This window comes from Homo sapiens, chromosome 2 (assembly GCF_000001405.40).
Source record: "Homo sapiens chromosome 2, GRCh38.p14 Primary Assembly".
NCBI classification, from domain to species: domain Eukaryota; kingdom Metazoa; phylum Chordata; class Mammalia; order Primates; family Hominidae; genus Homo; species Homo sapiens.
Window position 1 is genome coordinate 38384105 of NC_000002.12, and position 23994 is coordinate 38408098.

General features: G+C 46.5%; 3 annotated features.

The window, feature by feature from the left end:
• Positions 10789-10989: a silencer, noted in NCBI's record as "peak3665 fragment used in MPRA reporter construct". NCBI's record gives its function as "represses an SCP1 promoter by STARR-seq MPRAs in K562 erythroleukemia cells {active_cell/tissue: K562}" and the evidence as "EXISTENCE:reporter gene assay evidence [ECO:0000049][PMID:32103011]".
• Positions 12886-13386: an enhancer, noted in NCBI's record as "H3K27ac-H3K4me1 hESC enhancer chr2:38624132-38624632 (GRCh37/hg19 assembly coordinates)". NCBI's record gives its function as "activates a minimal SCP1, AML or CMV promoter by ChIP-STARR-seq in naive H9 embryonic stem cells {active_cell/tissue: H9 hESC(naive)}" and the evidence as "EXISTENCE:reporter gene assay evidence [ECO:0000049][PMID:30033119]".
• Positions 22568-23207: an enhancer, noted in NCBI's record as "NANOG-H3K27ac hESC enhancer chr2:38633814-38634453 (GRCh37/hg19 assembly coordinates)". NCBI's record gives its function as "activates a minimal SCP1, AML or CMV promoter by ChIP-STARR-seq in naive H9 embryonic stem cells {active_cell/tissue: H9 hESC(naive)}" and the evidence as "EXISTENCE:reporter gene assay evidence [ECO:0000049][PMID:30033119]".

A 23994-nucleotide genomic window follows, 5' to 3' on the forward strand; every position in this document is an offset into this window, starting at 1 on the left:
GCTAAATTCCTAACTTCTAAAAACTGGCTGGCTGGTTGGTAGGAAGAAACACTGCACCTTGACAATGTCCTTAGAGTCACTGTCCATGTTGTAACCTATTTAATTCTTGGATTCACGGCCACTAGAGTCATTTCGTTATTATACTTTGATGGTGAAATCTGTACTCACCTCAAACACTTCCTCCTAGACTCACACCATTTCTCCCCTTCCCAAATATTCTTGGGGTCTGTCTTCAATTATAAATGCTCAGAATACGAGTTCCATCTTTTCATTTTCCCCACAGTTCTTTGCTCAGACTCAAATATTGCATGTAATGCCACTGCCACTTGGTCGGCCTGGCAAATATTTATCTTTCAAGCTTATCCTGATCACCCTCCAAGAAGGCGAGCTATAGTAAGACATAATAAAATGACTGTTGTTTTAAGACATTTTGTTTTGTAACTGGAGAGCAGCCAAATATTTCCTTTCATCTCTGTAATTTGCTATAGAGCAACTGGTAACCAGAACACATACCCTTGGTGTCATACCAATATATAAACATATATATGTGGTAAATGCATAAGCAAATACAGAGCAATAATAAACTCTGAATTCAGATAGTGCTAATCACTCTCTGTTAAAGTTACTTGTTTGCTTCTGCTGTCTAAAGCAGTGGCTCTTAATTTTTTCACATTGTTTTGTTTTACAGTGATACAAATGACAAATGGCACTCACCAACAGGACATGTTCCATAGGTGTGCCCCAATATCCATTGGTGGCCACTGTAAATGAGACTATGCGCCATGTAGCTCCCATCAGGAACAGATTTAGTATTTTGGGGGTCCTGAAGCTTCTACAAGTTTGAGAAATTTCTTTAAGAAAACAAATTGTGAGGCTAGGCTTATGCCTGTAATCCCAGCACTTTGGGAGGCTGAGGCAGGTGGATCACTTGAGTTCCAGACCAAACCAGGCAACATGGCAAAACCCCATCCCTACAAAAAAATACAAAAAATTAGCCATGTGTGGTGGTGCCCACCTGTATTCCCAGCTACTTGGGAGGCTGAGGTGAGAGGATCACTTGAGCCCAGGAAGTTGAGGCTGCAGTGAGTCGACATTGCACCACTGCACCCCAGCCTCGGCAATGTGAGTGAGACCCTGTCTTGAAAAAAAAAAACAAAAAAACCCCCACAAAAAACAAATTGTGAATTAAAACAAATTATATAAGTAAATGCATATTTAGCATAAGAAAAGAAATCCCCTCAAAATACCAAATTTTATCTAATACATACTACAATACAGAAAAATAATTTTTTTATTTATTAACTTCATAGCATACCTTTCTAATACCACATTTTCTTTCTTTTTTTTTTTTTTGTTTGAGACAGAGTCTTCTCAGCTCTTTTGCCCAGGCTGCAGTACAGTGGTGTGATCTCAGCTCACTGCAACCTCTCCCTTCCAGGTTCAAGTGATTCTCCTGCCTCAGCCTCCCACATAGCTGAGATTACAGGTGTGCACCACCATGCCCGGCTCATTTTTGTATTTTTAGTAGAGACAGGGTTTCACCATGTTGGCCAGGCTGCTCTCGAACTCCTGACCTCAAGTGATCCGCCCACCTCGGCCTCCCAAAGTGCTGGGATTATAAGCATGAGCCAACTCGCCCAGCCTAAACCATTTTTTCTGATCTTTTCACTGTATGGTCTTTGACTCTTCATATTATGCCAATTTGGGGATATCATTTTCTGAAGAGAGAATAGAAAGGCAATTCAGTTTTTCCTGTAGTGTAGTGAATAAAGTTTTTATTTGTCTGTGACTTAGAAAATTCTCTTTCAGTCTGGGTGTGATGGCTCATGCTTGTAAATCCCAGCACTTTGGGAGGCCAAGGCGGGCTAATTGCTTGAGCCCAGGAGTTCAAGACCAGCCTGGGCAACATAGAGAAACCCCATCTCTCCAAAAAAAACACAAAAATTAGCCAGGTGCGATGGTGTGCACCTGTAGTCCCTGCTACTCGGGAGGCTGAGGTGGAAGAATTACTTGAGCCAGGGAGGTTGAGGTTGCTGTGAGGCATGATCATGCCACTGCACTCCGGCATGGGTGACACAATGAGACCCTATCTCAAAAAAGAAGAAAGAAAGAAAGAAAGAAAGAAAGAAAAGAAAGAAAGAAAGAAAGAAAGGAAAGAAAGAAAGAAAGAAAGAAAGAAAGAAAGAAAGAAAGAAAGAAAGAAAGAAAGAGGGAGGGAGGGAGGGAGGGAGGGAGGGAGGGAGGGAAGGAAGGAAGGAAGGAAGGAAGGAAGGAAGGAAGGAAGAAAGAGAAGGAAAGAGAAAGAAAGAAAGAAAGGAAGGAAGGAAGGAAGGAAGGAAGGAAGGAAGGAGAGAGAGAGAGGAAGGAAGGAAGGAAAGAAAGAAAAAGAAAAGAAAAGACGGAAGAGAAGGGAAGGGCAGGACAGGGCTCGGCAAATTAAAAATGATGGTTCATGGTGGTTAGGTGTAAATGGGCCTTAGTCATGCCTTCTTAGCTTCCCTTGGCTGGGACCCAGAGGTCACCACACACACTATAGAGGATTAGGGAGGTAGCTGAGTTAAGAACCAGAGGTCATCATAGTGGTACAGTGGTGTTCAGTCTATGCCAGGAATCAGATGGATGCTGGAGGTGAGATTCAGACAGGTACACCAAGGAGACCTGAATCACAAAAAGGAGCACCAGGACCTGAGTAAAAACCAAAGAACAAAACATAGGGTCAGCTCCAATTCCAGGGATATGAGCGCAAGGGACCCAGGAATCAGACTAGCCAACCCACCTCACAGCAGAGCCCACCGAAGCCCCACACAAGAGCACTAGGATCCAGGCACACATCCCAGGCCTCCTCCCCGCTGCTAGGTGGTCACACGAGAAAGCTTCCCACGCTGTCTGCAATCTTGTTCCTTTAGTTGTTGTTTTAGGAGGGAGTAGAAACAACGGAGCCTAAGATACCCAGAATCAGATTCTCAAGTCACAGAGGAAACTCCCTAGAATCGTTTGCTAACACTTAAAATAACATCTAACATTTATCAGGTACTTACATGTGCCAAGAATTCATATGAAGTAATAATTTATTAGTTTTTTTTTCTTTTTTTTTTTTTTGAGATGGGGTTTCACTCTTGTCGCCCAGGCTGGAGTGCAATGGCACGATCTTGGCTCACTGCAACCTCTGCCTCCTGGGTTCAAGCAATCCTCCTGCCTCAGCCTCCTGGGTAGCTGGGATTACAGGTGTGTACCACCACGCCCAGCCCATTTTTTTTTTTTTTTTTTTTGAGACGGAGTCTCGCTCTGTCGCCCAGGCTGGAGTGCAGTGGCGGGATCTCGGCTCACTGCAAGCTCCGCCTCCCGGGTTCACGCCATTCTCCTGCCTCAGCCTCCCAAGTAGCTGGGACTACAGGCGCCCGCCACTACGCCCGGCTAATTTTTTGTATTTTTAGTAGAGACGGGGTTTCACCATTTTAGCCGGGATGGTCTCGATCTCCTGACCTCGTGATCCGCCCGCCTCGGCCTCCCAAAGTGCTGGGATTACAGGCGTGAGCCACGTTAAACCTCACAATAACTCTAAAACAGAGACACTATTACATTTAACATTTTATGCTGAGAAACCTGAAGCCAAGAGAAATTAAATAATTTGCCCAAGACTACCAGGTGTATAAAATAGTGGAGTTGGGCTTTGACCCCACAGATAGAACTCTGGGGTTCACACTCAGACTACTAAACTCTGTTGCCTGTAGTAGCTTGAAGAACTCCAGAGGTATGATACCAATAGCTCCTTGGGGTTGGCCTAACCATTCCCAACCACAGCTCCTTTCCTTGAATTAGGATTTAGGTGATGAACAAATCATTCAAGAGTCCAGGGTTGTCAACTCTCCACTGTTGAGTCAAATATCATGTCGAATACCGACAGTGTTTCCATTGGGTTTTTTTTTTTTTTTTGGCCACCACCAACACCATGTGACATCAGTGGCAGATCTCAGAAGATAAAATGAGTGCTGCTCCAATGTATTCAGTGTAGTCTGCTTCTCAAATTCAGAGCGCAGGTTGCTCGGTTGCTGGAGAAGCAATGTATGCCTGCCATCACTACTCTGTGGATACCACACTGGGGCTGTTACCCATTGCATTGAGTCACAAAGGCATTGCAGGGCCTATGTGACTTAGGTGGACCCCTACCCTGCTTTTGTTGCCCAGTGCAATGCCTATGTGACTTAGCAAAATTCCTACTCTGCTTTGACTCTGCATATTTTCAGAAAACAGGGGACAGGCGCAGTGACTCAGGTCGGTAATCCCAGCACTTTGGGAGGCCAAGGCGGGTGGATCACAAGGTCAGGAGTTCAAGACCAGCCTGACCAGCATAGTGAAACCCCGTCTCTACTAAAAAATACAAAAATTAGCCGGGCGTGGTGGCACACGCCTGTAATCCCAGCTACTCAGGAGGCTGAGGCAGGAGAATCGCTTGAACCTGGGAGGCGGAGGTTGCAGTGAGCCGAGATCGTGCCACTGCACTCCAGCCTGGGTGACAGAGCAAGACTCTGTCTCAAAAAAAAAAAAAAAAAAGAAAACAGGATGTCTGATGTCTGTGGTCAGAGGTTCCTTCTTAGGCAGCTTACCCCACCTCTGAAGAACCTCTAACTTCATTATAATCCAATTTCCATACTAAATGACACTCCCAGGGGCGCCATGACAGTTGACAATTACCATGACAACAAAAGGAGGAAACCAAAACAGGACAAAAGGGAGGCGGCTCCTTGATTCCAAGTAAATCTCTGTCCCTTCCCAAGAAAAAGCATAAATACACCTCTCCTTGATCTTAATGCTCAGCCCCTTCATCAAGAAAACCCTACATGCGGAACTTCCCAGTTCCCAGGAGCCGAGAAGTTGATTTGTGAGCTGTGCTCCCACTTCTCCCATTCTGTGGCCATGAAATACAGCCTGCACTGCTTGACACTCACTTTCAGTTTTGTGTGCACCGAGCAAGAAAGAGCCCCTCTTGGGGTAACCAGGAGACCTGGTAGTAGGGTTGTGCTGGCAGCAGCAACCCACCCCCTCCATCTCGTACCCATTTTCTGCTCCATTCGAGAAGCCTCTGCAGCATCTCCAGGGCACGCTCTCTCCCAGCACAACCATGTGTTGCATATTTTTAGAAATAACCACACTTGCTATGGGTAACCCAGAGACTGGAGCAACAGGGCTCCAGATTCCAATTCTGAATTTGTGATAAGAACCCTTGAAAATGTGTTTAACCTTTATGTACCTTCATTACCACAAAACTGAAGGGACTGCAACATACCAGTATCATTTATAGGCTTGTTGCATGGTTATTTCTTGAGCAAGTGTTGATGTTCATGTGATTCTCCAACACCCTCTCCATCAGCATCTGCTTCCCTCAGCACTCTCAAGACAGAGCCATATCCTTGCTGCTGCTGACAGTGCCCATAAAGAAAGCCAGGTCTGTGCAAAGCCTGCAGACCGCTGATGCTCCTAGAGTCTCTGGTCCACTGGGTACCACAGCTGAGGAGAATTCTGTGCACAGCCATGCTTTGTTCCTAAGCAATTCTGCTTGTGCCTAAAGATTCCCAAAGTCTCTCATAAATAGTTTTGCAGTTTCTTGCTCTCACCTCTTGCTGGGAATGCCTCAAAGTCTCATGAAGCCAACTCCTCTGTTTCTGGCCTCACTGTTCTAACCATGGGTCTCTGACACCTTCCAAGAGGGCAGGCAAGGAACAGAGACTGTGCCTCTCCCCCACCATTCACCTCTGAGGCCTTGCTTGCAATGAATCCTACCTGTCTTCCCCACAGGGGCCTGGATGTTTGACCAACCCAGCACAAAACAAGGAGACAACAACAGGTGCAAATTGACACTGGGAAGAGGGAGGCAGGAGCTGAAAGGGACTTGAAAAAGAAATATTGTCCTCACTAGCTATATTTTGGCCCCAGCTTGGTAGGTCAAAGTTGCCCCATAGCAGATGTTTATAATAATCATAGTTAGTAATTTCAGCATAGATTAAGTATTTTCCTCCTGTTCTTATTTTAAGTAGGGAGAACCAAGAATATGCAGGTCCATATGGGAAAACAGCATTTTTAGATTCTAGTTCACGGGCATATTTAAATCTGAAGGTCAAGACCTATACCACCCTTGTATCCCAAATTAGGGCTCTCTCCTTACATACGTTCATGTTTTCCTTTATTTCATCCTTAATTGATGGTGACTGAGAGGATTTTATCACATACAGGTCAATGACAAAAAGCTAGAAGGAATTCACCATGTCTGTAGGTTGGGTACTTGTTCTCTACAAGATTGGCAGGTTATTTCTCTCATAAAAGTTGCAATTGTGTAAAAGAACACAGACTCTTTCAGTCTAATTCTTTGACAAGGAGAACTACTGTTGAGTGGTTTTAATATCATAATGCTTATATGAAAACTGGAGAGCTGGTAGCCATTCTGCAGGGAGCCGAAAGCAGTGGAGATTAAGCACTATATTCAGAAGACTGCTACGTGGCTATTTCCCCCAAGTAAATCAGGAGAGTTCCAGGAGACCACTGCAGTTCCAGGTACACACCCAGACGCTCTCAGAAGGGTGGAAGCAAAATAACAGGCCTCTGATGAAAAGTCAGGAAGATGAATATTATGGGATGAAGGAGCTCCTTGTGAGCAGTTGAGAATGGGAAAGAGGGACTAAGAGGAAGTCAGGTTTATGAAGGTGTAACTGAAGCAAAGGAGTATCCATTGTGTGTCCAGTGGGAGGAAAGAGAAATTAGGCACCAAAAATTCTGGAATGAAAAAAAAAGAAATAATGGAATGTACTCAAGTCCAATATGATTCTGGAGAATCCGAACCCAATCACTAGACAATGGAGGTCCCAAGCCCCACAAGCAAGGAATGAAGAATAACATCTTACTTTCTGGTCTATCCTTTCCAGCATTCACTAAAGCAATTCCCCAAAGCAGTAATTTGGCCAGCTATTCATTCCCCGTTGCGGGGCTGGGAGAAGGACGCAGACAATGAAGGTGGGAGGGAAATAGAAAGGACAACAGCAGCAAATACTTTAATAGAGGAGAGATTTATGAGGTGCTGCTGGGGAAACAGAAAGAAATGTAGGAGCTACAGGGGGTGGGGATCTGGTAGACCCAGCCTGGGGGAGCAGTGTCTGCACTGGGCTTGCAAATAGTGATCACAGCCAAAAGGTACTTTGTAGGATTGAGATCCTTTGATAATCTGGACCCTTTACAGTTCAATAAGCATGGTGATTTAAGTCTAAGACTGCAAAGTCAGTCTCAGTGGCTCATCCTGAAACCCCAGGAACTTGGGAGGCTGAGGCAGGAGGATCACGAGGTAGGAGAATTGCTTGAGGCCAGGAGTTGAAGACCAGCAGGGCAACGTAGAGAGACTCTGTCTACACAAAAAATATAAAAATTAGCCCAGCATGATGGTGTGCACCTATAGTCTCAGATACTAGAGAGGCTGAGGCAAGAGGATCACTGGAGTCCACCAGTTCGAGGCTACAGTGAGCTATGACCACACCACTGCATTCCAGCCCAAGTAACAGAGACCCTGTCTCAAAAAAGAAAAAAAAAGAAAAAAAAACCTCCAAGATGGCACTTGATTCCCCACATAGTACACCTAGGGATATGGTATGGAGCACAAGCTCCCAATCCACCACAAATACCCAAAATAGCTCTCCTCTCCCACCAGTGAGACCTCTGATCACACCCACGCCTTGAGCAGGTTCCTCCACACACAGACAGTTGTAACCTGTGGAGGCGTTTTCTTTGAGCATAAAGGCCAACGTTAGCATTCGTATCCTGCCTCTAGTAAGTTCTTTGTGGACACAATCTAGTCTTGAGGGGAAAGCTGGTTTTTTCAATATATTTTTTATTTTTTATTTTTTTTGAGATGGAGTCTCACTCTGTCACCCAGGCTGGAGTGCAGTGGCGCGATCTCGGCTCACTGCAACCTCCGACTCCCCAGTTCCAGCGATTCTCCTGCCTCAGCCTCCCAAGTAGCTGGGACTACAGGCGCCCGCCACTACACCCGGCTAATTTTTTGTAATTTTAGTAGAGACGAGGTTTCACCATGTTAGCCAGGATGGTCTCGATCTCCTGACCTTGTGATCCACCCGCCTCGGCCTCCCAAAGTGCTGGGATTACAGGCGTGAGCCACTGTGCCTGGCCGGTTTTTTCAATATTCTAAGTGGAAAATCACTGATAATACATTTTTCAGTTAGGATGCTTTAGCAGAAAGTAACAGAAAACCCAACCAGAAATGGCATCAATAAAAAGGAGAAGGCAGGCTGGGCGCTGTGGCTCACGCTATAATCCCAGCACTTTGGGAGGCCGGGGGGGCGGGGGGGGGGTGGATCACTAGGTCAGGAGTTCGAGACCAGCCTGGCCAATATGGTGAAACCCCATCTCTACTAAAAATACAAAAATTAGCCGGGCGTGGTGGCGCCTGCCTGTAGTCCCAGCTACTCAGGAGGCTGAGGCAGAAGAATCACTTGAACCTGGGAGGTGGAGGTTGCAGTGAGCCCAGATCACGCCACTGCACTCCCACTTGGGCAACAGAGCGAGACTCCGTCTCAAAAAAAGAAAAAAAAAAAAAGGAGAAGGTAATATCTCATATCACAGTAAGTTCAAAGGTAGGATGGTTTCAGGGTTGGGTTAACTCACTGTTCAATTACAGCATTAAGGCACCTGTTTTGTTTTGTTTTCCAATTTTCTGCTTTTTTCTTCCTCTATAAGTTGACTTTTGTTCGCATATTTATCCTGCATAGCTCAAACTGGTTGCCAAAGCTGTAAGTGCCCCGTAAAGATACAACAGGGGAACAAAAAAGAGTCTACTTTCTGCCTTGAATCTCTTCTTATTAGAAGGAAAATTTCCCAGAAGCCCCCTTAGACTTTTCCTCAGTCTCTTGTGTACTCACAAGTGAAATACATGTCCACTCCTAAACGAATTTCTGGCAAGGAAAATGGACTCACCATGATTAGTTTGATGTAATCAAGGTCCACACTGCTCTGGGCTGGAACCAGTTTTCCCTGAAACATATTAAGTGGCCTGATACCTGAACAAAATTGGGATATTGTTAGCAGGAAGAAGGGTAGAATGGCTGATGGAAGGGCAGCCCGTAATGTCTGGCATTGATGAGAACACTGGGCATGACTTCTAAGCACACTCTGACCTACCATCTCCTCTTTTTCTCCTATAATCCACTTGTCACGAGGTAAATGCCCCTTTCACTTGGGTATAACTAAAGTAATGAAGGCCTTTATACAACAGGAACCCCCGAGAACCCGTCAAGAATTCTACAGTTCCCAGAGAAATTAATGTGAGCTACATGTGGTTTATATTGAAACAAGCCACCAATTGAGAAGCTTAAGTTACACCATGGATGGTGAGAAAGGACCTTCCAGTTATCACTAAGCATCAGGCATGTGCTGTCCTTGTTCTTCCCTTGACCTGGGTTGTGTACAGAGTTCCTGGGTTTCAGCGATGCCTTGCTGCATGGTTGAAAATCCTGTTTATCTTATTGTCACATGCATCCTTATAATATAGCCCCCCATAAATTGAAGTGACTTGAATAAATGTTGGGTTTTTCCCCTCAGAAAATCAATTTAGCCAGGAGACAGGATTGGGAGACTGAATGAAACCTGAAGCTTCGTTTTGTTTGATGCTCATATAGTTGGCTTACAAAGTGATTTTTTTAATTTTTAAATTAATTACAAACAATTAAAATCAGAAAATTACACACATTTTTAAAAGTGTGACCCATCTCTACAAAAAAATTAAAAATTACCTGGGTGTAGTGGTACATGGCTATAGTCCTAGCTACCTGGGAGGCTGAGGGTGGGTGGATTGCTAAGCCCAGGATGTCAACACTGCAGTGAGCCATCATCGTGCCACTGCATTTTAGCCTAGGCAACAAACCAAGACACTGCCTCAAAAAAAAAAAAAAAAAAAAAGTAGATTTCTGGTTTAAAAAACTATCTGAAGATCTGACCACCGGAGCCAGTCTACTTATATAGTGACCACTGTCTGAAGCTGACTAGTGGGTCCCCCTTTGATCAGAAATAGATTCTCCAACTTGCCACAGACTCCATTTCACACTTGTGCTATCTGCCTGGCCCATCTCAAGCATTTGAACTCATGGCCCCTGGCTACCTAATCAAAAATGCCCATGGAGTTACCTAATGGACCTAACTCAAGAGTCATAGCCAGTATAGTAACCAAAACAGCACGGTAGCAGTACCAAAACAGACACATAGACCAATGGAACAGAATAGAAAGCCCAGAAATAATGCCACACTCCTACAACCATCTGATCTTTGACAGAGTTGACAAAAACAAGCAATGGGGAAAGGACTCCCTATTCAATAAACGGTTCCAGGATAACTGGCTAGCTATATGTGGAAGATTGAAACTGGACCCCTTCCTTACACCATATATAAAAATCAACTCAAGACCAATTAAAGATTTAAACATAAAACCTAAAACCATAAAAACCTTGGAAGATAACCTAGGAAATACCATTCTGGACATAGGACTGGGCAAAGATTTCATGACAAAAATGCCAAAAACAACTGCAACAAAAACAAAAATTCATAAATGGAACCTAATTGAACTAAAGTTTCCACACAGCAAAAGAAACTATCAACAGAGTAGTAAACAGACAACCTACAGAATGGGAGAAACTATTTGCAAACTATACTCGTGACAAAGGTCTAATAACCAGAATCTATAAGGAACTTAAATTTACAAGCAAAAAACAAACAACTCCATTAAAAAGTGAGCACAGGACAAGAACAGACACTTTTCAAAAAAAGACATACATGTGGCCAACAAGCCACAAAATGCTCAACGTTACTAATCACTAGAGAAATGCAAATCAAAACCACAATGAGATACCATCTCACACCAGTCACAATGGGTATCATTAAAAAGTCAAAAAATGCAGCCATAAAAAGAATGAGATCATGTCCTTCGCAGGGACATGAATGAAGCCGGAGGCCATTATCCTTAGTGAACTAACACTGGAACAGAAACCAAGTCCTGCGTGTTCTCACTTATAAATGGGAGCTAAACATCAAGTACACATGGACACAAAGAAGGGAACAACAGACACTCAGGCCGACTTGAGGATGGATGGTGGGAAGAGGATGGTGGGAAAAACTACCTATCTGGCACTATGCTTATTACCTGGATGATGAAATAATCTGTAGACCAAACCCCAGTGACATGCAATTAACCTATATAACAAACCTGCTCATGTAACCCTGAACCTAAAGTAAGAGTTAAAAAAAACAAAAACAAAAACGCAAGTTGGCCAGGCTTGGTGGCTCATGCTTGCAATCCCAGCACTTTGGGAAGCCGAGGAGGGTGGATCAGTTGAGGCCAGGAGTTAGAGGCTAGCCTAGGCAACATGGTGAAAATCCCATCTCTACTAACAATACAAATATTAACTGGCTGGGTGCGGTGGTTCACGTCTGTAATCCCAGCACTTTGGGATGCCAAGGCGGGAGGATCAGCTAAGGTCAAGAGTTTTGACACCAGCCTGACCAATACAGTGAAACCCCATCTCTATTACAAGTACAAAAATTAGCCAGGTGTGGTGGCAGGCACCTGTAGTCCCAGTTACTCAGGAGGCTGAGACAAGAGAATTGCTTGAACCCGGGAGGTGGAGGTTGCAGTGAGCCACTATCATGCCACTGCACTCCAGCCTGGGCAACAGAGCGGGACTCCAACTCAAAAAAAAAAAAAAATCGCCATATGTGGTGACACACACCTGTAATCCCAGCTACTTGGGAGGCTGAGGCAGGAGAATTGCTTGAACCCAGGAGGCAGAGGTTGCAGTGAGCCAAGATCACACCACTGCACTCCAACCTGGGCAACAGAGCGAGATTCTGTCTCCAAAAAAAAAAAAAAAAGTTATAGCCAGTTCAGAGAATGAAAAGCAAATACATTGATGAGGGATTTCAGGAGATCAGAGACATGAGTCCCATCTCCAAAGAAAAAAACACCCTGAACCTCACAGCCCTCCTCCCTCTCCCCACAAACCTTGGGAAGCTGGCCAACCCTGATAGCAGAAGAGTAGAGAATAAAACATCCCCTTGTTTCTAGTGTACAACAGTCACTGAGTCATGGGAAGCCCCGGAGCGCTAGATCTGATTACCTGCTGATCATGATTTCAGCTTGCAGAACAAGCCTGTTCCCATTAGTGACAGTATACAATTACTAGCTGACATGCTTACAGGGATCTTACCACAATATTCTTTTCAGGAATGTATTTCTTCTACCATCCTCTACCCACAGACACACACACATCCTATTTTGATATGCCTGTCCCAAATGGATTCTGAAAACTGGTTCAGATAGACTCTGTTTTATTAGCTCTCTCTATATGTTTCTCAAGGTCCAATTTTCTTCCTTCTTTAATCCCCATGTCATGATTATGACCATTAAAAACCATCTTTTTTTTTTTTTTTTTTTTTTGAGGTGGAGTCTTGCTCTGTTGCCCAGGCTGGAGTGCAGTGGCACGATCTCAGCTCACTGCAACCTCCACCTCCTGGGTTCAAACGATTCTCCTGTCTCAGCCTTCCGAGTAGCTAGGATTACAGGTGCCCACCACACCTGGCTAATTTTTGCATTTTTAGTAGAGATGGGTTTTCACCATGTTGGCCAGGCTTGTCTCAAACTCCTGACCTCGTGATCTGCCCGCCTTGGCCTCTCAAAGTGTTGGGATTACAGGTGTGAACCACCGTGCCTGGCCTTTTTTCTTTTTTTTTTGAGACAGAGTCTGGCTCTGTGGTCCAGGCTGTAGTGCAGTGGCATGATCTCAGCTCACTGCAACCTCCGTCTCCCGGGTTCAGGCGATTCTCCTGCCTCAGCCTCCTGAGTAGCTGGGATTACAGGTGACTGCCACTGCGCCTGGCTAATTTTTGTATTTTTAGTAGAGACAAGGTTTGGCCATATTGGCCAGGCTGGTCTCAAACTCCTGATCTCAGGTGATCCGCCTGTCTCAGTCTCCCAAAGTGCTGGTGAGAGGTGACAGTGTGCTGGCAGCCCTCACAGCCCTCGCTCACTCTCAGCGCCTCCTCGGCTTCAGCGCCCACTCTGGCCACGCTTGAGGAGCCCTTCAACCCGCCGCTGCACTGTGGAAGCCCCTTTCTGGGCTGGCCGAGGCCGGAGCCGGCTCCCTCAGCTTGCGGGGAGGTGTGGAGGGAGAGGTGCGGGCGGGAACTGGGGCTGCATGTGGCACTTGCAGGCCAGCGCGAGTTCCGGGTGGGCATGGGCTTGGCAGACCATGCCTGCCCGAGCAGTGAGGGGCTTAGCACCTGGGCCAGCAGCTGCAGAGGGTGTGCTGGGTCCCCCGTGCTCGATTTCTCACCAAGCCTTAGCTGCCTCCCCACAGGGCAGGGCTGGGGACCTGCAGCCCGCCATGCCTGAGCCTCCCCCTGCCGCCATGGGCTCCTGCGCCGCCCGAGCCTCCCCGACGAGCACCGCCCCCTCCTCCATGGCACCAGGTCCCATCCACCGCCCAAGGGCTGAGGAGTGCGGACGCAAGGTGCAGGACTGGCAGGCAGCCCCACCTGCAACCCTGGTGTGGGATCCACTTGGTGAAGCCAGCTGGACTCCAGAGTCTAGTGGGGACTTAGAGAACCTTTATGTCTAGCTAAGGGATTGTAAATACACCAATCAGCAATCTGTATCTAGCTCAAGGTTTGTAAATGCACCAATCAGTGCTCTGTATCTAGCTAATCTAGTGGGGACTTGGAGAACTTTTGTGTCTAGCTCAGGGATTGTAAATGCACCAAAACGGACCAATCAGCTCTCTGTAAAATGGACCAATCAGCAGGATGTGGGTGGGGCCAGATAAGGGAATAAAAGCAGGCTGCCCCAACCAGCAGTGGCACCCTGCTGGAATACCTTTCCGCGTTGTGGAAACTTTGTTCTTTTGCTTTTTGCGATAGATCTTACTGCTGCTCATTCTGGGTCAGCCCTGCCTTTATGAGCTGTAACACTCACCGTGAAAGTCTGCGGCTTCACTCCTGAAGCTAGCAAGACCATGAATCCACGGGGAGGAACGAACAACTCCAGACGCGCCACGTTAATATCTGTAACACCCCGTGCGAAGGTCTGCAGCTGCACTCTTGAACCAGTGAGACCAGAACCCACCAGAAGAAAGAAACTCTGAACACATCCGAACATCAGAAGGAACAAACTCCAGACATGCTGTCTTTAAGAACTGTATCACTCACCGTGGGGGTCTATGGCTTCATTCTTGAAGTCAGTAAGACCAAGAAGCCACCAATTCCGGACACACTGGGATTGCAGGCGTAGGCCGCCGCGCCTGGGTTTTTTTTTTTTTTTTTTTCTGAGACAGAGTTTCACTCTTGCCCAGGCTGGAGTGCAGAGGTGCAATCTCCGCTCACTGCAACCTTCACCTCCCAGGTTCAAGGGATTCTCCTGCCTCAGCCTTCTAAGTAGCAGAGATTACAGGCCCGTGCCACTGTGCCTGGCTAATTTTTGTATTTTTAGTAGACTTTCGCCATGTTACGCAAGCTGGTCTTAAACTCCTGATTTCACCTGATCTGCCCACCTTGGCCTCCGAAAGTGCTGGGATTACAGGCCTGAGCCCCCACATCCAGCCTAAAACTCATCTTTCTTGTTGGATGGTGGGGCACAAAACTGAAAGAAAGCCTAGGAGGGATATTTCCACCAATTATTTTCAGTAAGTGTGTAATGCCAAACTCAGTACTATGTAAAGCTAGTAAAGTGTAGTAGCTTAACATCTCAGGATCTCAGTCCAGAAATAGTATTCAATATGAGCAAAAATATGCATAGCATGACATAGTGCTGCATGTTGAAACACGCCATTGAGTACAAATCCTTTAGCTTATGAGAGGACAGAAATAGTTCTTAAAAATTAGTACGGCTTCTTAAAAAATTAGCCAAAAGGGGAACTAAGTGTCCTAGAGATTAGTGTGGCCTTCGGAGCAATTTCTATCAAACTGGATTCAGCCATAAGGAAATCGGGTTAGTGTTGTAAGATCAGACATTTTGACTCCGAAACATTTCTTTAAGCATGGAGGGACACCACAGTGCTCTTTCCTAACAAGCCAGAGCAAGAGTCTTCTGTTTTTGCTTTCTGGTAGTCTAAGGTACATGCCTCAGAAAATGCAGTTGAAAATAAAAGGGCTGCAGGAGTTTTGAGACCGACCTCAGCAACATAGGGAGACCCCATCTCTAAAAAAAAAAAAAAAAAAAAAATTTAATTAGGCATGGTGGCACACACCTGTAGTCCCAGCTACTCAGGAGGTTAAGGTGGGAGGATCGCTTGAGCCAGGAGTTATGCTGCAGTGAGCTATTATCGCATCACTGCACTCCAGCCTGGGCAACAGAGTGAGACCCTGACTCCAAAAAAAAAAAAAAAAAAAAAAAGAAGGGCTCATCCTACCTAAAGATTTTCAGCACTTGGAATGTAGGCTCTGGAAGAACACAGGATTTGGATATTTTCTAGAATTTCTTTCTCTTGGTCCTTTCATCACCTTAAGAAGTACCTGAGCCAGGCACAGTGGCTCACACCTGTAATCTCAGCACTTTGGGAGGCTGAGGAGGGTAGCTCACCTAAGGTTGGGAGTTTGGGACCAGCCTGGCCAACGTGGTGAAACCCCGTCTCTACTAAAAATACAGAAATTAGCTGGGTGTGGCGGTGTGCCTGTAATCCCAGCTACTGGGGAGGCTGAGGTGGGAGAATTGCTTGAACCTGGGAGTTAGAGGCTGCAGTGAGCCGAGATCGCGCCACTGCATTCCGGTCTAGGCAACAGAGTGAGACCCTGTCTCAAAAAAAAAAAAAAAATAAAAGAAGTACCTGAAAATGGGGTGATTAAGCAGAGAACTGTGAACAGAGAGATATTCCATTGATTTTGGTGGGCTTGCCTCTGTCATATTAGTTCAGCCTAATTCAATCAGAACTTCCTCAGCACCTACTCTGTGCCAATACTGTGCTAAAGGCCATAGCAACAGCAGAAGAACCCTACAACACAGCCCTTGACCTTAGGAAGTTCACCATCTTGTTGAGTGGGCCAAACCTATACACATGAAGGAACTAGGGGACAAGACTAGGGGACAAGATATAATTGGGCATCAAAATTGGTCTAATTTCCATCTAATCTTAGTTTTCTTATGCATCATTTCACAGTTGTATTTAAAAATCATAAAACATTAATCTGTCCAGGTACAGTGGCTCACACCTGTAATCCCAGCACTTCCGGAGGCCAAGGCAAACGGATGGCTTGAGCTCAGGATTTCAAGACCAGCCTAGGCAACATGGCAAAACCCTGTCTCTACTAAATATACAGAAATTAGCTGGGCATGGCGGCATGTGCCTGTAGTCCCAGCTACTTGGGAGGCTGAGGTAAGAGAATCACCTAAGCCTGGGAGGCAGAGGTTGCAGTGACCCAAGATGGTGTCACTGCATTCCAGCCTGGGAGACAGAGTGAGACCCTGTCTCAAAAAAAAAAAAAATCAAATTAATCCTAATTTAAATATATTAAAATCCATTATGGGTCACATTCAATCATGGCTAAAGTGAAAAGCTAGACAATGCCAAGTGTTGACAAGGTTGTGGAGCAACTAGACCTCTCATACATCAACAATACAAGAATAAATTGGTAAAATAACTTTGGAAAACTGGCAATGTCTATGAATATATGTATATCCTATAATCCAGCAGTTCTAACCCTGGATTTATACCCAACTGAAATCCTTATATCTTTTCACCAAAAGATATAAGGAATCATCATAGCAGCACTAGTCATAATAGAGCCAAAGTGAAAACAACACAAATGATTATCAATAATAGAATGGATATGTAGTATATTCAGACAGTAAGATAACACAGGGTAGTGAGAATAAACAAAACTATAGCTACCAGCAACAATATGAATAAGTCTCACCAACATGATGTGGAACAAAAGAAGCCAGACCAAAAAGACTGACAATATATTACATGAATCCATGTATATAAAGCTCAGAAGCAGGTAAAATAATTCATTGTAGTAGGACTCAGGATGGGGTTACCTTTCCTTGGGGATGGTATTTATTAAAATGAGGCAAAAGGAGAACTCTCAGGTCTTGGTTTCTTGATCTAGGAGCTGCTTATGTGCTTGAGTTCACTTTGTGAAAATTCATTGAGCTCTATATGAGTTGCACCCTTTTTTATGTATGTTATTTATCAATTAAAAATCCATAGAAGGGTAACATTCAAGTATTACAAATGCATCCATATTTCTTCAAAGATTTCTGTTAATAGGCTGAGCACGGTGGCTCACACCTGTAATCCAAGCATTTTGGGAGGCCAAGGCAGGCAGATCACCTGAGGTCAGGAGTTTGAGGCCAGCTTGGCCAACATGGTGAGACCCTGTCTCTACTAAATATACAAAAATTAGCCAGGTGTGGTGGCGTATGCCTGTAGTCCCAGCTACTCAGGAGGCTGAGGTGGGAGAATCACTTGAACCCGGGAGGTGGAGGTAGCAGTGAGCCAAGATCGCACCACTGCACTCCAGCCTGGGTGACAGAGTAAGACTCCTCTAAAAAAAAAAAAAAAGATTTCTGTTAATGGAAAATTGAAGCCTAGACAAGTTGTGGAAATTGACTTCCAATAGTCTTTGACTAGGACCAGGAATTTCATGCTTCCTAAGTCCCTGTTCTGTCACTGATTCTCTAGGCAATTTTAGAAAAACATTATTCCTATTATTATTCCTATTACCTCTATTTCTAAAAATAGTGAAGTTAGCTCTCATTCTTCATTCACCGTCATTAGATTTGCCTTTAAGGTGAAATATGTGAAATTGTGCTGCAGTCAATGCTTTTGACATTAAATCAAAATGACAATTAAAGTCCCTCACCATTTTCATGACAGGTGAAAAAGTCTACTGCACTGAGGGAGTGTGTTATTACTGTCCAACCTCAATCGTTATCATTCGGTCATAATTAGCCTGACTGGTAAACCACAAGTGAAGTTTGGGCTCTCTGTCATAAACCTTCATATGGAACCCAAGCTCTCTTTTCCTTCCATCTGAGAGAGAGGTGCTTTCTCATACCTTACATGGATGAATTCTTTTGTTCTAAGGAGCCAGGAGAAATAACAAGATTTAGAAATATGAGACCAAATGAGAAAAGAGCTGGTCTTGACAGAAGAAGACGGCTGCTGTCACTTATTGGCTGGAAAATTTTGGATAAGCCATCCCACCTCAATTTACTTAATTTGTTTTAAAGATGAGTCTCAATTTACTCATCTTTAAAACAGGGACATTAACTACCCCTCTCCTACTTACCTCATTGGTTGTTTTAAGGTGGAAATGAGACTATGTATGTAAAAATCTTTTGAAAAGTAAAAAGTACAGATGCAAAATATTATAATTATGTAAGAATGCTGTCAGTGAACTCTATTGGAGTCCTTAAAAAATGAGTGTCCATGGCTCTCGCTCTCCCTCTCCCTCTCTCTCTCCCTCTCCCTTTCCCTCTCCCCTCTCTCCCTCTCCCCACGGTCTCCCTCTCCCTCTCTCTCTCCCTCTCCCTTTCCCTCTCCCCTCTCTCCCTCTCCCCACGGTCTCCCTCTCCCTCTCTTTCCACGGTCTCCCACTGATGCCGAGCTGAAGCTGGACTGTACTGCTGCCATCTCGGCTCACTGCAGCCTCCCTGCCTGATTCTCCTAACTCAGCCTGCCGAGTGCCTGCGATTGCAGGCGTGCGCCACCACGCCTGACTGGTTTTCGTATTTTTTTGGTGGAGACGGGGTTTCGCTGTGTTGGCCAGGCTGGTCTCCAGCTCCGAACTGCGAGTGATCCGCCAGCCTCGGCCTCCCGAGGTGCCGGGATTGCAGACGGAGTCTGGTTCACTCAGTGCTCAATGGTGCCCAGGCTGGAGTGCAGTGGCGTGATCTCGGCTCGCTACAACCTCCACCTCCCAGCTGCCTGCCTTGGCCTCCCAAAGTGCCAAGATTGCAGCCTCTGCCCGGCCGCCACCCCGTCTGGGAAGTGAGGAGCGTCTCTGCCTGGCCGCCCATCGTCTGGGACGTGAGGAGCCCCTCTGCCTGGCTACCCAGTCTGGAAAGTGAGGAGCGTCTCTGCCCGGCCGCCATCCCATCTAGGAAGTGAGGAGCGCCTCTTCCCGGCCGCCATCCCATCTAGGAAGTGAGGGGCGTCTCTGCCCGGCCGCCCATCGTCTAAGATGTGGGGAGCGCCTCTGCCCCGCCACCCCGTCTGGGATGTGAGGAGCGCCTCTACCCGGCCGCGACCCCGTCTGGGAGGTGAGGAGCGTCTCTGCCCAGCCACCCCGTCTGAGAAGTGAGGAGACCCTCCGCCTGGCAACCGCCCCATATGAGAAGTGAGGAGCCCCTCCGCCCGGCAGCCACCCCGTCTGGGAAGTGAGGAGCGTCTCTGCCCGGCAGCCACCCCATCCGGGAGGGAGGTGGGGGTCAGCCCCCGCCAGGCCAGCACCCCCGTCCGGGAGGGAGGTGGGGGGATCAGCCCCCCGCCCGGCCAGCCGCCCCGTCCGGGAGGGAGGTGGGGGGGTCAGCCCCCCGCCCGGCCAGCCGCCCGTCCGGGAGGGAGGTGGGGGAGTCAGCCCCCCGCCCGGCCAGCCGCCCCGTCCGGGAGGGAGGTGGGGGGGTCAGCCCCCCGCCCGGCCAGCTGCCCGGTCCGGGAGGTGAGGGGCGCCTCTGCCCGGCTGCCCCTTCTGGGAAGTGAGGAGCCCCTCTGCCCAGCCACCACCCCGTCTGGGAGGTGTACCCAACAGCTCATTGAGAACGGGCCATGATGACAATGGCGGTTTTGTGGAATAGAAAGGGGGGAAAGGCGGGGAAAGGATTGAGAAATCGGATGGTTGCCATGTCTGTGTAGAAAGAGGTAGACACGGGAGACTTTTCATTTTGTTCTGTACTAAGAAAAATTCTTCTGCTTTGTGATCCTGTTGATCGGTGACCCTACCCCCAACCCTGTGCTCTCTGAAACATGTGCTGTGTCCACTCAGGGTTAAATGGATTAATGGTGGTGCAAGATGTGCTTTGTTAAACAGATGCTTGAAGGCAGCATGCTCGTTAAGAGTCATCACCACTCCCTAATCTCAAGTACCCAGGGACACAAACACTGCGGAAGGCCGCAGGGTCCTCTGCATAGGAAAACCAGAGACCTTTGTTCACTTGTTTATCTGCTGACCTTCCCTCCACTATTGTCCTATGACCCTGCCAAATCCCCCTCTGTGAGAAACACCCAAGAATGATCCATTAAAAAAAAAAAAAAAATGAGTGTCCATGGCTGGGCACGGTGGCTCACTCCTGTAATACCAGCACTTGGGAGGCTGAGGCAGGAGTCTCACCTGGGGTTGGCAGTTCGAGATCAGCCTGGTGAACCTGGTGAAACCCCATCTCTACTAAAAAATACAAAATTAGCTGGGCATGATGGTGCATGCCTGTAATCCCAGCTACTCGGGAGGCTGAGGCAGAAGAATCGCTTGAACCCAGGAGGCAAAGGTTGCAGTGAGCCAAGATTGTGCCATCGCATTCCAGCCTGGGAAACAAGAGCAAAACTCCATCTCAAAAAAAAAAAAAAAATGAGTGTCCATGGTCAGGCGCGGTGGCTCACGCCTGTAATCCCAGCACTTTGGGAGGCTGAGACGGGCGGATCATGAGGTCAGGAGTTTGAGATCAGCCTGACCAACATGGTGAAACCCCGTCTCTACTAAAAATACAACAATTAGCTGGGCGTGGTGGTGTGCGCCTGTAATCCCAGCTACTCAGGAGGCTGAGGCAGGAGAATCGCTTGAACCTGGGAGGTGGAGGTTGGAGTGAGCCGAGATCGTGCCACTGTAGTCCAGCCTGGGTGACGGAGCGAGACTGCGTCTCAAAAGAAAAGAAAATAGAGCAGAGTGGTGCAATAGAAAGGGTCTAGAAGGTTTCTTTGGTTGGGTGGTCAGGGAAGGTCTCCTTGAGAACCTCTGAGAAGGTGGCAACATGTGAGCTACATCTTGAATATGAGAATGAAATTCTGGGGAAAGAGTGCTCCAAGCAAAGGGAAGAGCAGATGCAAAGATGCTGAGATGGTGGGAGGCCGAGGCAGGCAGATGACCTGAGGTCAGGAGCTCAAGACCAGCCTGGCCAACATGGTGAAATTCCCGTCTCTACTAAAAATACAAAAATTAGCTGGGCATGGTGGCACGTTCCTGTAATCCCAGCTACTCAGGGATCGATAGAAATGTTCAGGTTAAGATAAAAGATTGTGGAGGCCAAAGTTCCTTTGAGGTCTTACAGTGACTGTCCTTAGAGACAATAGATGAGAAATGTTTCCTATTCAGACCTTTAAAAGGTACTAGACTCTTAGTTAATCTCTTTAGGATTAGGAGGGCCTTTTTCTAGCTACAAAAAGATCTAGCTATGTTAATAAAGATTCTTTACAGATTCAAATTCTCCCCCACAAAGGACAGCTTTGCAAGGTCAGTTTGGTGTGGTGGCTCATGCCTGTAACCACAACACTTTGGGAGGTAAGGCAGGCAGATCACTTGAGGTCAGGAGTCTGAGACCAGCCTGACCAACATGGTGAAAACTCAACCAATTGTCAACCAGAAAATGTTTAAATTTACCTATAGTATTTCTCAAATGTGTTTGATTGATGTCTCATACCTCCCTAAAATGTATAAAACCAAGCTGTGCCCCAACCATCTTGGGCACGTGTTCTCAGGACCTCCTGGGGTCTGTGTCACGGGCTCTGGTCACTTATATTTGGCTCAGAATAAATATCTTCAAATATTTTACAGTTGGACTCTTTTTGTCTACACAACTCACCATAATGTAGAATCAGTGGGAGCCCTGAGCTCGTTTTCCCGCAACTAGATGGTCCCATCTGGGGGTGATAGGAGAGAGTGACAGATCATCAGGCATTAGATTCTCATAGGAAGTGTGCAACCTAGATCCCTCGCATGGGCGGTTCACAATAGCATTCACACTCCTATGAGAATCTAATGCCACTGCTGACCTAACAGGAGGCAGAGATCAGGCATAAGGCAAACAATGGGGAGCAGCTGTAAATAGGGATGAAGCTTCGCTCGCCCTGCTCACTTCCTGCTGTGTGGCCTGGTTCCTGTGGCCCAAGGGTTGGGGACCCCTGGAGTAGGGAGAGGGTATAGATAGAAAAGAGAGCACGAGACTAAGACCTATTCATAGCAGAGGAAGAACTGGCAGCAAAAGACTTTTCCCCAGGAAAATTGCTGTGCGATCATATAATCAGGCCTGCCTTCAACTTGGAATATTTTGGACAAACACCAAACAGAGATTCAGAGGTGGCTTCACTGTAAAGCTAATGAAGCATTATCTTCAGGGTGCTTCACTTGTGCAAGCCCTTTCCGAGGCCCTGGGAGGCACCCCAGCTTCTTGTAATCAAATTTTGCATTTTTTCTTTAAAAGAACTTTCCCCAAACCTGCCCCTCCACCCTTGAATACATCCAAATGTCATTGCAAATTTCTGACCTTCAGCAACAAGTCAGTACCTAGAGGTTTGTAAATACGCTTCCTTTGGTAGGCTCAGAGTCCTTCCATCCAGCACAGAAAGTCTGACATTGACGTACATATCTTTTTTACTTTTTATGTTTTTGAGACGGAGTTTCGCTCTTGTTGCCCAGGCTGGAGTGCAATGGCGCAATCTCGGTTCACCGCAACCTTGGCCTCCCGGATTCAAGGGCTTGTTCCCTTGGGGGAAAACAAAACAAAACAAAACTCTTCCTGAAGTCCCAACCAGAAGCAAAACTTTCCCAGCCCTGTCTCAGGCCATTTGTCTGTCAGGCCTCTGGATGGTGGAGTTGGTCTCAGTGTTTACTAAACAAACCAATGTGGTTATCCCATGGAGATCTGAAAGAGAAAGACAAAAAATTAGCATAAATACAAGGCCACCTATTCAATTAAAGCTGCAAACCAGGGCAGCTAGAAAGCTGAATATAAAACAGTCAGGGAGAGTTTTAATACAAGTGAGTTACATAACTTGAGACATGCTTGAGACTCAAACAAAGGCATTCTTATCTCAAGGTTAAAGGAAGGAAGGAAGACCAGCAACAGTTTCCAAGCACTTTTCCTATAAACTTTCTACCAACAATGAGACTCAACAGTTGGGAACTGGCGGGGGTGGGGAGGACAGAAACCTCCACAGCTAATCATTCCTTTGGGTTAATTAGGACGTCCTCTGCATAAGGTGTGGTTCCCTACTGGTGGTGGAGTCACAGGCTTTCAAAATTATCACCATTTCACAACCCAGGAACTGCTCCAGTTGGAAGCAACCTTTGAGACCATATGGCCAACCCCCTCCTGTTACGGATAAAAAACACCAAAGGTCATTCAGCTAGTTACTACAGAACAGGGACTAGAACCCTTGTGGTCCAGGCCAGTGCCACTTCCACCCCTGTGCCTGCACCTTCAGACACATCCACAGACCATCTGTCAGCAGCCCACGGCTGGGAGGGCAACTGAGTATAGCCTCTCCAACAAATTTGCTGGTGCTAGACTTGACCCTCCTTCCCTGAAGCCTTCCCTTTCTCCTGTTTTTTTTCCTCCTCTCTTCTTTCAGCCCTCTTTTCTTTGTTCACCTGCATCTATGTCCTCAACCCACTGATGGCATAAAGAGGTCCCTAAGCATTGTTTTAATTTGCCAGTGGCACTGGGAGGCGCTGGGATCTGGGGACAAAATGTTTCCTCCAGGCCAACTCCTGGAAGAGGTCAACTCCCTCTTTTCCATCTCTTCCAGCCTAAGCCTTGAGAATCAGTGACAGAACAAGGAGTTAAAAAGCATAAAATTCCTGATCCTAGTCAAAGACTGTTGAAAGTCAACTTCACAGCTCTTGTGGGCTTTAATTCTCCATTAATAGAAATCTTTAAGGAAATGTTGATGCATTTGTAGTACTTGAGTGTGACCCTTCTATGAATGTTTTTACCAGAAAACTGTTTCAGGCAAAACCTTCCACAAAATA